The sequence below is a fragment of the Homo sapiens genome, chromosome 3 (genome assembly GCF_000001405.40).
Source record: "Homo sapiens chromosome 3, GRCh38.p14 Primary Assembly".
NCBI classification, from domain to species: domain Eukaryota; kingdom Metazoa; phylum Chordata; class Mammalia; order Primates; family Hominidae; genus Homo; species Homo sapiens.
In genome coordinates, this window is record NC_000003.12 from 26064132 (window position 1) to 26080995 (window position 16864).

General features: G+C 37.6%; 1 long non-coding RNA gene across 1 annotated transcript; it reads left to right on the plus strand.

The window, feature by feature from the left end:
• Positions 1–706: 706 nt before the first annotated feature.
• Positions 707–16591, plus strand: LOC105377001 (uncharacterized). Its single transcript, XR_940662.2, has 3 exons — positions 707–1125; positions 2773–2892; positions 16458–16591. It is a non-coding gene; the product is annotated as an uncharacterized LOC105377001 (long non-coding RNA).
• Positions 16592–16864: the final 273 nt, after the last annotated feature.

The window sequence follows — 16864 nt, forward strand, 5'->3', positions numbered from 1 at the left end:
TATATGCACCAAAGAATGTATGCTTTATCAGATTAATCTGTTTTGTTTTTCTCCAGTGCCCTTTGCAAAACATGAAAAGTGGTATAGTTGGTTGGTAAGATGTCAACTGTGTGTCTTCACCTCTTGAGGGAAAGCCCATGAAGGCAGACATTTTCTGTCTTGTTTATTACTGTATCATCAGTGTCTGGTAGAAGACGGTCTGGCTCATAGCATATGCTCACTAAGCATCTATTGAATAAATGTATGAATTTGATCTTGTCTAGCTAGATCATTTTATAATTTACCAGCTCAATTATTAAAGGAGCCACTGTTAACATTAGTTAAATAATAGTTAAATATTAATTGTTAAATAATAATTAAGTTATATAATAATAAATAATTAAAAGTTATAGTTAAATAATAATAGTTAAATTATTATTATTAAATAATAGCTCAGGTTTTTTTTCTTTGTTGAAAATTTACTTTTTTCTCTATTTAAATGACAATTTAGCAAGTTTTTATTATGTCCATGGTCCATAGTTATAAAATAGAAATCAGGTATTTAAAAACTCAGTCTAAGGTTCCCTTTGAATGAAAATTACTCATTGACATTCCTGACCTTCCAGACTTCCAAGGAAAGAGAGTTGATAGCAAGTGCAAGAGAGACAACATTTCTGCCAAACTTCGTGTTTGGAATTACTTTGAGTTGTAACATTGTCTGTTTCTCCCATGTTGTAAGAAAGGTTAAGAGGTTGAGCACCTCATGAACTATGGGACACTGAGAAATTCTCCACTTTTTCCCTAATTGGATCTTCATAATGGATCTTAATGATTATGTCTATAACAGTTGGTACATCAGGAATACCCCTTGTGCTGTGGTCTTGATTTAAAGTACATTACTGAAAATAGTAAAATCACCTTTGTGTAACTTAAGTTATAAGTCCCCCCTACCAAATGTTTTCATTATTTAAAAAGATCTGTAGGACTTCTGATGTCTCTGAAGGTTAAGGAAATTTGAGTTCAAGGTTACTGAGTGCTATTACCTCTTACCTCTTCTGTGAAAACTCATCATACACTTTTTAATTCACAAGGAAAAGGAAGTCTAGATTGTTTCTCCATGGCTCTGTGCTAGAGACACAAAACAAGGTATGTTAAGCTCTGAAATGATAGTCATAAAAATAAAATATTTCATATGAGTTTTGCTTTGAGTTTCTTACAATAATATGGTTGGTCCTTATTAAAGTTCCATTCTCACTAGGAAGATATTCAGCTTTTTCGACAGGGACTGGTGAGTTCTAGGGAATCCCTAATGATTCTTCGTCTTTGCAGCTTCCTTATTCTTTCATCAATGAGCTATTTTGAACTGCCCATGTTTGAGTTTGACCTTGCAAATGACAGAAATGAACTTAGTAGTTTGCCCAGCCTCTTAATCTCGTGGCTGAGGCCTCGTTTTGAACCTAAATGAATATCAAGTTGCTCCAATTCCAATGATGTATGACTTTGTGAATACCATTGGTCACAGGATCAATGGGGTTGACAGAAAAGCTACAGCTCCTCCAATGTTTATTTTTTACATTAAATTCAAGTAATCCTTTCAAGATGAAAAGTCTCCTCTTATGTTTCCAGAGCCAAGTAAGCTCCGACAGAGAAATCTCATGTCTTGATAATGGCTTCCTTCTTCTCACCCCCAATTATATAATCCTTCTTCTTTCCCTCTTTCACCAAAACAGCATGCACCTTTTCATCAGCTTATTTCAGTCGGTTCTGAGATTCTGAATTATCAAGAGAGCAAAGGATGCCAGATTTATGACACTTACTTTTAAGAGAATCATTCAGATTGCCTCTGAAAGCAGGAGGCCGTAGATGGGCACTGTGGTTTACCTTCTATCTCTGCACAAAGGAAAGTTCCTCTGCGTATGTCTGCCTAGACCCACATTGATCAGATAGGCCACTCACTGTCCAGTCCCATGGGGGACATGCAGGCAATGCCTTGGTTTCATAAAGAAAAGAAAAGCTCAGGTTTTTAATTTTGCTCAGATCCTCAGGCAACGCATGATTCAGACAGATAAGCTTTGAGGATGACAAAGAGGTGCCTGTTCCCCCAAGGATGGAAAGCAGGGACAATAGGAGTCAGAATATAAGCTTCTCTGACTTTCTTATACATCTTTTTGATTTATTTATACAACAAGAATTTATCAAGCTCCTATTCTGTGTCCAGCATGGCTCTGTTCCTTGTCACTTCAGTTAAAGATGTTGAGCTTCCAGAACTTTTATTAGTTTTCCTAGACCTCCCTCCTACTCCCTCCACAAACATCTAGAAAAGTGCTCTGGATTTTCTGTCAGAAGGAGCTGGGTTTGAATTCTGTTTCTGCCACTTGGGAATATCAAGGATGTAGGTGCTATTTTGTTCACCCTCCTTCCTAACAGTATATGACTTCCCTTGGGGGGATTATCTTGTCCATTTTGTGGTCAGTCTTCGTGGGAATACAAGTCTAGGCAAGATAGTACTCCAAACTTCTCTCCCAGGATTTGAATCTTGAGTGAGACCTGATAAAAATGCCCAGGCCCATTTATCCCAGCAGATGTTCGAGTAGTTCCTGGTGCTGGGAGTTTTCCTGGTTCTCGTCTTATTTCCTAGTTCTCTGTGAATTCAGGAAGGTATCAGTATCCTGATAATTGATTTTCGTTTGTGTTTAAATTTGCCAGTGTTGGTTTCTGTGGCCTTCAAGCAAAGAAACCCTGGTTGATACACATTAGGTCCAGTTACTCAACGTCTTTGAGTCTTTGTTTCAGCATTTCTAAAATTAGAGAAATAATGCCTGCCTCATGGAGTGGAATGTGGACCAAATGAGATGGCATAGTAAGGAGCATGGCACAGTGCCCACCCCACAGAAGGTACACAATAAATGGCAGGTAAGTTACCATTGTGATTAACCCTTTCACATTGCTCTGGTTAAAAGCCCTACCTTGGGGTGATCCATTCTGAAACCCTTCAAGCACACTTTCCACTTACAGAGGTGACCTGGCAGCCTAGATTTATCAAGGAAAGACAGTCTAAGAAACAGAAAAAGTAGAAACAGAGTTTGAACACAAAGGTAGTAAGGAAGCCCACAGAGAAGCAAGGTGGGAGGAAACTGGAGGTGTTTTCTGGAAGTGTAAGGTGAGCAAAGAGTGGAAGTGGAGGTTAAGAGGGCACCCTAAACAGACACCTACTTTCCATTCTCACTGTCATAATTAGAGAAGGTTGAATCTTCTGTTATTTCAGATACATTCTCTATGATTCTGCCAGTGAAACCTGGCTGCATTTCATTTCTGCCTGAATTATGTTCAGAGACGTGGATATTTTTACTTAGCTAAGGAAACATTTGTCTTTTACTTTTGTTTATTTTTATCAATGGGAATAACATTTTTCCAGTCTTGCCTAGTATAGAATGGCATAGTGTTTTCAATTGTTTTAATTTTACATGTCCTTGAGGCATTATAAGTGGTGCTAAATAGCTTTTCATCTAGATCCAACTCCTAAAGGGTACAGTGTCAGGGTTCATCACATGCACATTTGTGCTAGGCTGTTTGTGTTCAAATCATAGCTTTCTCTCTAACTTGCTGTGTGACTTTAGGAAAGTAATGCAACCTCTCTTAGCCTCAGTTTTCTTATCTGTAAAATGGGCTGATAATAATAGTACCTTGTTGAGGAGACTAAGAGATAAAAGCAAATAGCACAGCATGAGACTTATAAGTGCTCGATAAATAGATTTGTTAAGGTTACATTTGTTGCCATCATCAGAAATGAACCTTGCCTCACTTAAGAAAAAAGGAGTAAAGGATTGGAAAGGTATTGGGGGAGTCTGCAGAGTTTAAGATAGAGCTGATGTCCCTGGGTTAAGGAGGAAGAAACACAGGGCACAGGGCATAGCAGGGCTGTACCATTAACAGCAAGAATTCCTGGATAATTCCTCCAGGGCCCTGCCATCAAAGTGACACTCCTACAAGTCTGCTGGGCTCACTGCCCCTTCTTTCAAATGCACAGAATCCTAAATGTCAGGCAATGGAAAGAGAATTAACGAAGTCCCAGATTGTATCACATGCGGGAGACCACATCGGGCCCAGATGCTGGTAGTTTAGCCTTTTGAAAAAGCATAAGCTTGCATCCCTTCTCCTGCTTATCAAAAATGAAATCGGTGTTAATAAAGGACAAAGCACAGGTTGAGCCTAGTGAGACAGAAGCCCAGCAAAGCCCTGTCTCCTTTTAAATCCTTGCCCAAGGAATAATCCCTATAGAGAAAAGTGATTTTATTATCCCTGAGATTATGGTAGAAAAATTCAGCAAGCTGCAGATCGTCTTTGATCCCAAAGGCCTTGACCAAACAAAAAGTTTTCATATTTTCTCTATAACACTGCTAAGCAGTAGTGTCATTTGTTGAAATATCTTTCTCTTGTTTTATGTTGTTATAAATACAGTATATACCCTGGGTGTTGGGAATTTGCATGATGCGGATGGATTTATAAAAAATATTCTGAATTGTTTTGGAGTTTATAAATAATAAAGTAGATTCTTTTGGTAGGTAATATGCAACTATAATTTAGAATCTTTTTTTGGAAGACCTTTCGAAGCAAAGTGCACAGAGGCAAAGCTTTATTAAATGTCACACTACTGTCCTATTGAGCTAAACAATATCTTAAAGTATAAAAGGTTCAATGTAGACAGTGATGACGATGAGAGCTAACTCTTATTACACCTTCCTCTGTGCCATGATAAATGCATTACACATATTAATTTATTGGCTTCTCCTGACAACCCTGTGAAGTAGTTAGTGTTATTATCTCCATTTTACAGGTAAGGGAACTGAGGCACCAAAAGGTGAGTTAACTACTCCAAGATTACACAGCAAGTAAACGGCAGAGATGGATGTAAACTCAGGTCATCCAAGGCCAGAGCCCAGGCTTTCAGCCAGCACACTCCATAGCAGTTTATAGCGTAGGAACATCAGGTTCCAGAATGAGGAGTGAGATGGATACAGAAGTGAAATAAACATATTTAAAGCACACTATGTGCCAGTATATACCCGAGATATCTTGTCTTGTTTGTTTCTGTCAGCAAACCTTTGAAGGTAGCATTGTAACTGTTTCATAGCATGGTAATCAGAAGCTGCTCAATGTTACAGTTAGTTGGTACGGGAAATAGAGGGGTTAGTGTTCAAACCCAGGCATGCGAGACTCCTCAGCATATGCTCTATTTTTAAAATTTATTTCTAATTATTATGGGTACATAATAGTTGTATATACTTATGGGGTACACATGATGTTTTGATACAGGCATATGATGTGTAATAATCAAGCCAGGGTAATGGGGTATCCATCACCTCAAGCATTTCTTATTTCTTTGTGTTAGGAGCATTCCAATTTCACTGTTTTAGTTATTTTAAAATACACAATAAATTACTGTTAAATATAGTCACCCTATTGGGCTACTGAATACTACTAGATCTTATTCATTTTATCTAACCATATTTTTGTTTCCACAAACTATCCCCACTGCCCTGTTACCCTTCCCAGTCTCTGGTAATCATCATTCTATTCTGTCCCCATGAGTTCAATGTTTAAAATTTTTAGCTCTGACATATGAGTGAGAACATATGAAATCTGTCTTTCTGTGCCTGGCTTATTTCACTTAACATAATGTCCTCCAGTTCCATCCATGTTGTTGAAATGAGAAAATTTCATTCTTTTTTATGGCCAGATAATATCCCCTTGTGTATATGTACCACATTTTCCTTATCCATTCATTTTTTGATGAACACTTAGGTTGATTCCATATTTTAGCTATTATGAATAGTGCTGCAATAAACATGGGAGTGTAGATATCTCTTCAATATACTAATATTTTTCTTTCAAATATGTACCCAGCAGTGGGATTGCTGGATCACGTAGTACTTCTATTTTAGGTTTTTTGACGAACCTCCACACTGTTCTCCATAGAGGCTGTACTAATTTACATTCCCAACATCAGTGTACAAGGGTTCGCTTTTCTTCACATCTTTGCCAACATTCATTATTGTCTATCTTTTGGATAAAAGCCATTTTAACTGGGGAGAGATATATTTCATTGTAGTTTTGATTTGCATTTCTCTGATGATTAGTGATGTTGAACACTTAAAAATATTTATATCATACAGTTTTCTGAATAAAAATGATTTCTCTCTTCAATGTTAAATGTTCTCCATATAATGTACTGATGCGTTTGTTATAGATAATACATTGATATAATAAAAAAGAAAACTCTGAGAAGTGGAGTCTCAAAATTGTGGTCTAGAGGAAAGTCATAGGGCAGAGGTTCTGAAATACCAGCTTCTTGTAATGATTTCAACGTGAATTTCCGAGAATCATTAGTCATAGATTGTGTATGGAATTAAGTCTACCCATGGGGATTTTTAGCCATAACATCTGAACAAACAAGCAAGTGCTCTGGCCATTTCAGTGATAAAAGGAATGCAATTTTCTTCTGATAAAATATGTAGTCCAAAAATGAGTAAGAAAAATATGTAAGTGAATATAGTTGTTAATTTTCCCAAATAACCAAAATATGAAGAAATAAAACATGAACACTTTTGAAATTAGAAATTTAACATCTACATCTATGTGCAGATGGTTCAGGAACCTAGGATATGAGGCCTATACACTCAGAAGGTTTGGGCTTGAAACACTACTTCCATTTTCCCAACCGAGAAATGGAATCATAATACCAGTTCATTTTACATGATGAAGATGAATGAGTGAGATATAATATTTATCTACTGCATGAATTTAATGTTGTTACTATTTTGGATAGATTATATATTCCTAAAAATAGTCAAAGAAAGCCTTAAAAATAGTCAAAGCCACAAATTAGAAACAGATTTTCTTGGGACTTTTATGGCATTTTTCTTGGCATTTTTACGACCATGAGCATGATAAAACACAGGGACTACCTCAGAGCAAGAGGCCTAGACTACATCTGGTTGTTATGAAAAGGCCACCTGTGCTCAAAGACCCTTTCTAGAAACCAAATAACATTATTAACAGGTGAAATTGGGGTTGGTCTAGCTTTGGGATTTTCTTAAGAATGTTTCCATCACTGTGAGCAAGGCTTGGAAATGCCAGCTCACACCATCAGTGCCTGCAAACATCCTTTTTATCTTATTTGATAATGTTTTACTGTGAATGAAGATCCAAGCTCAAATAAAAGAGCATTAAGTGTACAAGAAAGATATTTAGTTTCCAAGTATGCAGCCTCCAAGTTGAGTCAACAAACAGACATTGGGAGAAATTTTAGAAAAAGAAAAACTCAGGCAAAGTAGCGTAGCTAGCTAAAGGAAGCAGAGACAAGTCAAGTAGGTAATTCCATTAGTTTTTCAATGGCCCCTTATTGAACATCTGTCTTATCATAAGCTAAAAACATAACATGCAGTACCTCATTTACTCTCCACAACAAGTTATGAGGCAAGGAAAACAAGTGTCTTCACATTATACGAGAGGAAACGGAAACTCAGAGAAGGAAAATAACACAGCCAATGTCACACAGCTGGTATGTGATAGAGCCTGGATTTGAATATTGGGCTCCTCAGTTTCAAAGCCCACTTCTGGTTCTCCCAGATCAGTGTGTCTCAAACTTCCCAGTGTTAGAAATTCTCTTGGGGAAGCTTTCGTGAATGCAGATTCTAGGGCTTCATCTCTAGATATTTTGATTTGTTTCTTCTAAAGAGAGGGTAGGAATCTTCATGCTTCTGATACCCTTCATTGGTGGAATGCACTTTGGGAAATATTACCCTGTGTAATGTTGTCATCTAATAAACGGAAGTTTCGTTCTTAGCAACTTTGAGATCACCTTATGGTCAGCCTCAGAATCTTCAGCTAAAAATTAAAATAATAAAACCTACCTTAATCCCCTATGGGGAGATTAAAGAAGACACTGTATGGAATGTTTATGTGTGTGTGGACATGCAGAAACAGCTTTATAAATAATATTTCTCTTTCTCAATAAGGCAAAAGGACTAGAGCAGTTAACATTAAGAGCTTTAAAGAATATCCAGTTTATCAGGTGACTTGCTTGCCTGACCTCAATCAGAGGCAAGGGACAGAAAAGAGATGCAAGAATGGAATGAGTTTGCCTAGGCAAGTAATCATGGGAAAGGAAATACGGTTAATTATTGAAACAAAATTAGTCGAGAAGCTAGTATGCTAATGCAGCCCAGAGCAATCTCATGAATGCCAACTCCACTGCTGGCTATTGTGTGACCATGGTCAAGTTACTTCTCTCAGGACATCACTTCTTTCAGCTATAAAGTTGAAACAATAAAAGCTTCTTCACAGAGTTGTCGTTGAGGATCAAATGAAATAAGAGCATAGAGAGGAGTCAGCATGAAACTAGCAAGTCGTGGTGCATAGGAGATGTAAACACAGTAACTCTGGAGACTAGGATAATGTTATGAGTAGGAGAATTGTTATTATTACCATATTATTGAACTTGAAGGAGAAGAAATGCAAGTCTGTCATCCCTTATAGGAACCCTTTGATGCCAGAGTGTATGAGAATTTTTGGACTTTGGAAAAGTACATATACCACATACCACATCAGAGACTGGGAGAGCACCTTGTAATCAAACACACTAATCTTTCTTCAGTGAAATGGATGAATATTCACCTTAAGTGGCAAAAGTAGCCTCATGTCAGTTCAGGTCAGGTTTAACCATCAAATGCTTTACAAAAAGCCTTTGGTTTTTATAGCTTTTTGGATCTAAAAATTGCAGATAAGGGATATGGATCTGTCTAACAGTTCCAGTAACAATATTCTCCTTGGATGCTACTTTCCAAATCTATATAGTGGGCACAACATTAGTAGCCATCATAATATTATATCTAAATTAGTCTAATGTGTTTTTATAAAATTGGAGTCTTATTATTAATTAATTGGACAGTAGAGGATTAGATTGTAGTATTTTTCCTTTTTCTGGCAAATTATAAAAAGTGAAAATCAGAGAAAGTTTAGAAATGAGGGAAAAAATTACCCTCATTATGCCAGCACCCTAAAACACAGCTACTGTAGTTTTTGCACATGTATTTATAGTTTTTGAGACGGAATTTTGCTCTTGTTGCCCAGGCTGGAGTGCAATGGCGCGATCTTGGTGCGGTAGTTCACACCTGTAATCCCAGCACTTTGGGAGGCCAAGGGAGGCGAATCACCTGAGGTCGGGAGTATTTATAGTTTTAAATACACACTTTTGTTTAAATGTAAATATTTTGGTCATATGATTTTGTATCTTGCTTTTTTTTTTAAAAAAAATTTCAACTTCTTACAATATCTTCATACCGATCATTTAAATCTTCGCTTATTGTTACATACTACAGTATTTATATGACACTTCCCTTATTGGCTAAAAGTTTTTACTGTTACCAAAATGCTTTGATGAACCATATTCGCTCTTTGCCAGGTTTGTTATTTTCTAGGATTTATCTTAGTATGATGATGCAAAATTTTGGTACAAAAGATGTAAAGTCTTGGACCAAAACTAGGGGCGGGGGAAGGAGCAAATGGAGCCAAGAGCTGTATATAATGCTGATGGTCTTTAAGTTCAAAAAATGGAGTCTGGAGATTATCTCAGTTTTAGGTGAGAGAAGAAATTTGTTCAAAGATGGAGGCATGAGGAGAACTTAGCTCAGAGAAATGAGGAGTGAGCACAGGCTACAGAAAGCAACGCACGCAATTGTGTGGGAGAGCATTATCAGCAGCATGGTCTCTGTGGTCTTGTGAAGAGGCAGCCCAGCTTCGTTAACAGAGACAGAGGTAGAATTGGCAAGCCTGGGATATCCCTTTGCTTTAATATAGCCTTTATTTCTGTTAAGTGATTACTCGAAGTTGGCTTGATTTCTACCCAACCCTAGTCTAAGTTACCATTTATTCTCACCTGTACTCCTGAAAAACCATCCTAACTGGCTTCTAATACCTGCCTTGGAACTTCTCTCCCACACAGTAGCCAAAGGATCTTTTTGAAGTGAAAATGTACTCATCTTTCCCCTGCTTAAAGCCTTTCAATGTCTTCCCAGTGTTCCTAGGATAAGGATAAAATTACTTAATGCAGATAAGTTCAGACTCTTTTGATTATAAGTAACAAGCAACCTAATTCAAGCTGACTTAAGCAAAAAAAGGAAATGTTATCGGGTAATTCTATCTAATAAGGCTTAGTAGACACAGGACTTTAAAAGATTTAATAAAGATATGCTTCCTCTCTCTACTTATTAACTCTTTTATGTTGATTCTTTTCAAATGAGATCTTTTCCTGTGGCTATAACACAACTACCAGCAACTCTGATTTGTGTGCTGTGGGAATAAACCCTTACCCCAGCAGTCTCAATCCAAGCCCTGCCATTCACTTTGATTGGACTAACTTAGGTCATGTGTTCTTCCCTGAACCAGTACTATGGCTATGGGAATAGGATATACTTAGGGGTCAAGGGCTGGATCACATGCTTTACCTAGATTCTGCCTCACAACAAACCACGTGGGCTGAGACTGGGGAAAGCACAGACTCTAGCAACAAATCTGGGGCTTTAAGAAGAGTAAATGTGTTGGGGGGACTACAGATCTTCTCTACTGTATATATGGCTTTACATCGACTATTCCCTGTCTATTCCTCCTGCTTCATCTAGCACAACATTTTGCTTCCTGCAATCCAGCCACACTGGTCTTTGCATCAGATAACTATTTCTGCATAACAAACAGCTCCCATACTAAATGCCTTAAAACCATAACTATTTACTGTGTCTCATCATGGATCAGCTTGGTGCTTTTGCTGATTGAAATTGGGCTTGATTATGCTCAGCCTCTCTCTGCATCTGTGATCAGGTCAGCAGAGGGCTGCTAGAACAGCCTTGGCTGGGATGACACAGTTCTTCTCCATGTAGTCTCTCATCCTTCAGTAGGTTAGTTCAGGTTTGTTTTCATAGTGGATTCAGGGGCTCAAGATAGCAAGCAGCAGTGTTCAATGTGTTTTGAGGCATATGTTTAGAACTGGCACTTCCACCACAAGCAACTCACATGGCCAAATTCAGGGTCATTATGGGAGGATACTAACACATTTCAAGACCAATGTAACCTTTTATTTATGGGCATTATTGATGGAGAATTAATGAAGCTCATGCACATGCTAATTTATTTATTGAATAAACATTTATTGAGGAACAATGACATACCAGTATGTATGAATGTAATCATGAATAAATGCAAAGGAGTGGAATCTAGAAAAAGAATGTTTGCTGAGAAAAACTAAGCAAATGAATACACTCATTGGAAAACTATTAATATGTGTGTTTTTTAAAAGAACAAAGAGAACCCCTCACAGAGATTTCTAAAATATGCTTTTATAGATATAAGCTATTGAGGAGGAGGTTGAATCAGTGTCAAAATGAAAAATTAAACCTGTTGAAATATGAAGAATATTAGAACTTGCAAAAAGAGAAATACGATTCAATGTAAATGATTCCGTCTGCTGCAGTAAAAATATTTATACGTTTCTCCATTCTACAAGTACTTCCATATTTCTAAAATGATGACCCTTTCCTTTTGAATAGGCTCAAGCCTTATGTGGAAGCCAGCTACAGAATTATAAGAAGTTTCAAAATGTATTGAGGGACTGCAGGATGATCACTCTTTGGGTAAAGAGGGGAGGCAATAAACTTCAGATGTTCATGGCTCTGTGGTCCTAATACTGGTAGCCTCTGAGGCTGGGGAGACTTAAAGCTAGCTGGGAGAAGGAAACTATTCATCAGTTACCCCTGTGGCAGCAAAGTTGCAATAAGGGTGGCAATTATTCACTCTTCCCTCTATCCATGCCCTTTGTATGTTACTTTACAGTTCCCTCACAATGTGAGCAGCTCAACCCTCAAGGGGTTAAGGAACCTAAACCTCAAGTCCCAAGATTCTAAAATTGGTGTTCTCACTGAATTCAAGTATTAAATGATACAATTTGAAAGGAAGTGAACTTGATCCTTAAAACCAGAATTCAAGTTCTGACTGTAAAATAACCACATTACTTTGGATAGTTCCCTTAATTTCTCTAACTTTAGCCTTTCCAATTCTAAAATGGATATGATCATGCTTGCGTCAGGCATCTTATGATAATTAGTGTCACACAAGACATATGTCTAAAGCAAAACATATGTGTTGTGGGTTGAATTGTCTTCCCCCAAAAGATACTGAAGTCCCCTCTACCTGTGATTGTGACCTCCTTGGAAATAGGGTTATTGCAGATGTAATCAAATTAAGATTAGGTGGGCCCTAATGCAATGACTGGTATGCTTATAAGCAGGAGATTCAGACACACACAGGGAGAAGGCCATGTGATGATGGGGCCAGGGATTGGAGTGATGTAGCTACAAGCCAAGACTTGCTAAGATACACTGGTGAACTACAGACGCTAGGAAGAGGTAAGGACAGATTCTTCCTTAGAAACTTCAGAGGAAGCATGGTTCTCCTGACACTGATTTTGGACTCCCAGCTTCCTGCATTTTAGACTTCTGACTATGAGAAAATGAATTTCTATGGTTTCAAGCCACTCAGTTTTTAGTACTTTGTTGTGGCAGCCCTAGGAATCTAATACAATGTGTATATTAGATACTATGCTAAATTACAGATTTTACAAAGAAGAAGTCAACTTGTTTGTGGGTATATGTGAGTCACCTTTGGGGACCCTAGAATACTGAGGGGGTAAAATGGTTTTTAGCGTTCTGATTTCTCGCAGGTAAAGTAACTAAGCTTGTGAAATTTGAATATTAATGTTAATGTGAACTCAATTTTATCCCCAGAAGAGTAAAGCATAGGGGATTTCTAGTTACTTAATGGAACAATAATATGTAAAAATATTTAATAATTACTCATATCTATCAAATCCCAAGTACTGTTTGCAGCATTTTTATGTATTAACTCATTTAAACCTCTCAGAAACACAGTGAAGTACTGGATTACTCAGGGTTTAACCAGGTCTAATGAGGAAAACCCTACTTCAAGTATTTAAATAGAAGAGAGTTAATGCAAGAAATTATCTAACAGGGATAAAACAGATGGGAAGCCAACAAGTGATGCTGAAGCAGCTTAGATGAGCAGCACCAGGAAGCTGCTGTCACCCCTAGGGTGGCAGGACAAAGGGAAGTAGCATGTTGCAGGTCAGAGCTGGGTGTCACCTGGTTTAGTTTAGAACCCTGGTGGGCCTACCCCAAGAGAGCTGTGGAGAAAGTACAGTTACTGCAGGAGAGCCTGCTCAAGGAGGAGAGGGACCCCTGAACTTTTTCCTTCCCCCCACCCTCCATTCTCCCATTAGTGCCACCCATTGGCTGATCCCAGTGGAAGCCAGTTGATATGTGACCCTGAGAAATGCAGTTTATACCCTTTTCAGCTTGTATCATAGGGGAGGCACTCCTATGATACAGAGCCGGAAAGGGCGTAAACAGTTCCAGGATCAATTAGGTATGTACTGCTATTACCCCCATTTTTGAGATGAAAAAACTGAGGAATAGATGGGTAAAGTAGCATACCAAAGGTCACTCAGCTGGAGCTGAGATTTAAACCCAGGCACTCTTCCCCCTGCCCACAGTACAACTATACTGTATTCAGGGAAAGACTGGAGGCAGGGAGCGCAGTGTAGGGATTATTATGATCACCCACGGGGCAGGAATTAGGACCAGGAGTAGGTTGGTATCTATGAAATTGAATAAACGAGATTTCTTTGAGAAATATTACAGAGAAATGAATGATTTGTTTAAGAAAATGAGAAAGGAAATGGCTTTTGACCATAGGAAAATATTTGAAAAGGGAGACGATTTATTTTAACCGCAACAGTATTCAATTTCTAGTCAGAAAGTAAGTGAGGCAGTATGATGAGATAAAAAGTCCAATATTCATTATAACAAATTTTACCACTGCAAAATAATTTGAGATGTTTCTGAAAGCCTGCATGTCTCTTTTGTGAAACTTCCAAAAGTTGTTTCTCTTTTATGGCTTCCTTTTATCATCTGCCTTAAGACATAAGCTGGTTATGCTATTCTCAATAAATAGCAGTATTCTAAGATAATTATTTTCTTGGCAACCTGGAACCAGGAGCATAAGATGACAGTAGTAAAATTAGAACTGTTGCTTCTTGCACAATTTACTTTCTAGTCTAGGAGTCTTAGAATAAAATAAGAAATAGTTAATTAACTGGACTAGGAAAAACTGTTGCATTTTTCTTTTTTTAATGATTTGTTAGCTAAGTTTAATTAAGAAAATCAACAAGTCTGCTAGAAACTGATAATTACTTGAATAATGGGTGATACAAATCTTTTCTAAAAATGTAAGTTGCAAAAGAGGAAAAACCATCTAAAGGAAGCCTAAATGTTCTTTCTAATGAATGTGGCATATGGGAGAGATTGAATATACAGATTAAGTAGAGAGTGAGCAGTTATTTCAATGTAACCAAAACAAATGGCAATCTGGGTGATTCAGATAACTCTGAATTCTCTTTTACTTCAATAGCTGCATTTTCACATTGACCTGAATTATCCATATGATTGCTTTCGCTGTCTCCTTTTCTCTGCCTGTGCAGATAAACATAGGGTGTGATGACTTCCATCTCATGTAGGTGAGCTAAAGCAAAACTATCCAGTAAATGCTAGTTGAGTAGATCTGAGCTTTTCTTTAGCATTAGATATTATTTAAGGACTACCTTCCTTCCCTGTGTCAGTAATGGAGTATGAAAGGGATACTAGCCCTTGGTTTCAGGCAATAAAAATTATGCTGGTTTAGGGGTGTCTGCATAGTTTGAATTATAAACATACCTGTCAGTGTAATTTATTCAGGCACAGTTTGGACAATCACTGGTCCAGGGCCATTGTAAAAAAATGGTTTTAAGTTAAAGATCTAGTTGGATTAATTAATTGAAGTTCCATTCAATTCTGTGATTATATGAACACATAAAATCTCAAACATTTGTCTTTCCATGCATGATTGAGTCTTGGAATAAAAGCAGTCATTTGATGGCTTTAGCTTCTGTGGGGAGTGATCAATAAAGTGATTCTGAAAAAACAGATGCTTGTGTCCATTTTGTCCCATTCTATTGTGGCTCCCTTTATGTATATTTGGATGACAATTCTAGCAATGGAGCTCTTTCTCTGACACAAATCATGGAATTCACATAAGAGTGCAGAGTTTTGATTGCTAAGGGAAGTGGATTTTACTGTGACCAGCATTTACAGTCCCAGAACATCTGCAGAGCTGCTCAGGAACATGATAATGAAGCAGAACATCTGCAGAGCTGCTCAGGAACATGATAATGAAGCAGAACATCTGCAGAGCTGCTCAGGAACATGATAATGAAGCAGAACATCTGCAGAGCTGCTCAGGAACATGATAATGCATCAGAACATCTGCAGAGCTGCTCAGGAACATGATAATGAGGGAGAACATCTGCAGAGCTGCTCAGGAACATGATAATGAGGGAGAACATCTGCAGAGCTGCTCATGAACATGATAATGGACCAGAACATCTGCAGAGCTGCTCAGGAAGATGACAATGGAGCAGAACATCTGCAGAACCACTCAGGAACATGATAATGGAGCAGAACATCTGCAGAACCACTCAGGAACATGATAATGGAGCAGAACATCTGCAGAGCCGCTCAGGAACATGATAATGGAGCAGAACATCTGCAGAGCTGCTCAGGAATATGATAATGGATCAGAACATCTGCAGAGCTGCTCAGGAACATGATAATGGATCAGAACATCTTCAGAGCTGCTCAGGAACATGATAATGGAGCAGAACATCTGCAGAGCTGCTCAGGAACATGATAATAGATCAGAACATCTGCAGAGCTGCTCAGGAACATGATAATGGAGCCCAGTGAATAATGTTCAACATTTTGAAAAAGTTGAAGTGAATTTAAAAATAAGAAACTTAAAATTCCAAATATCCAATTGAAAGTTGTTTGTGTCTATGACTAATAAATACTGAGAAATCCAAACTTAAGTGCAGTATAAGTGGATAAAAAATTTTAAAATATGGGATTTGCGGGACAAAATATGTATGTAATATTAAAGGAGTTTGACTCCCTGATCTTGTCCAACCCTTTGTTTTTCTTGGGGGCAACAATAGAGGTCAGAGTAGAAAGCGGCTTACCTAAGGTCATAGAGATGTGTGGTAGTAGTGCTAGTATCAGACATGAAATCTAGAGATTTCTAGTGAGCAAAGACCAGAACTCACATGTTAACAACTTTCTGAAAGAGAATCTAGGAATCAAATCTAGGAAGCTTTTTCATCCTCAGTGGCATCTGGATTTACCCAGGACATTTTTATCCATGAAAATATTCTGTTATAAATATTTTCAAAATCATCTCTTCTAAAAGTTACAAAAAACAGGTGCATTTTACACTTGGCAAAACTGTGTGTATATTCCTTTGTTTATGTCTACCTTTTACAGATAAAGCTTTCAGTGAATAAAGCTTTCAGAAGCCACGAAGACAATACAAAGCCAATTATCTCTTATTGTGAAACTGTAAAGATGAAAAAGAGAACACAGAAAATAACTCTAAAGCTCCAAATTGAAGAAGTGAAGAATTGAGGTTAAGTATCTACATAATGAGGTTTATTGAAACTCTATAATTAAAGATAAGCAGATAATTTAGATGCACTTAAATATTATTGAGGTATTATATTTCATCTAATTTAAGAAACTATATTCGTTAGGGTCCAGATATGAAAAGATAAACCACGCCAGGTATTTCAAATAGAGACAATTTGATACAGGGAACTGGTTATGCAGGACGCTGTTCCTACCTAGATATGGTAAATGGACGCTGAGGCTACCTAGATATGGTAACTGCTGAT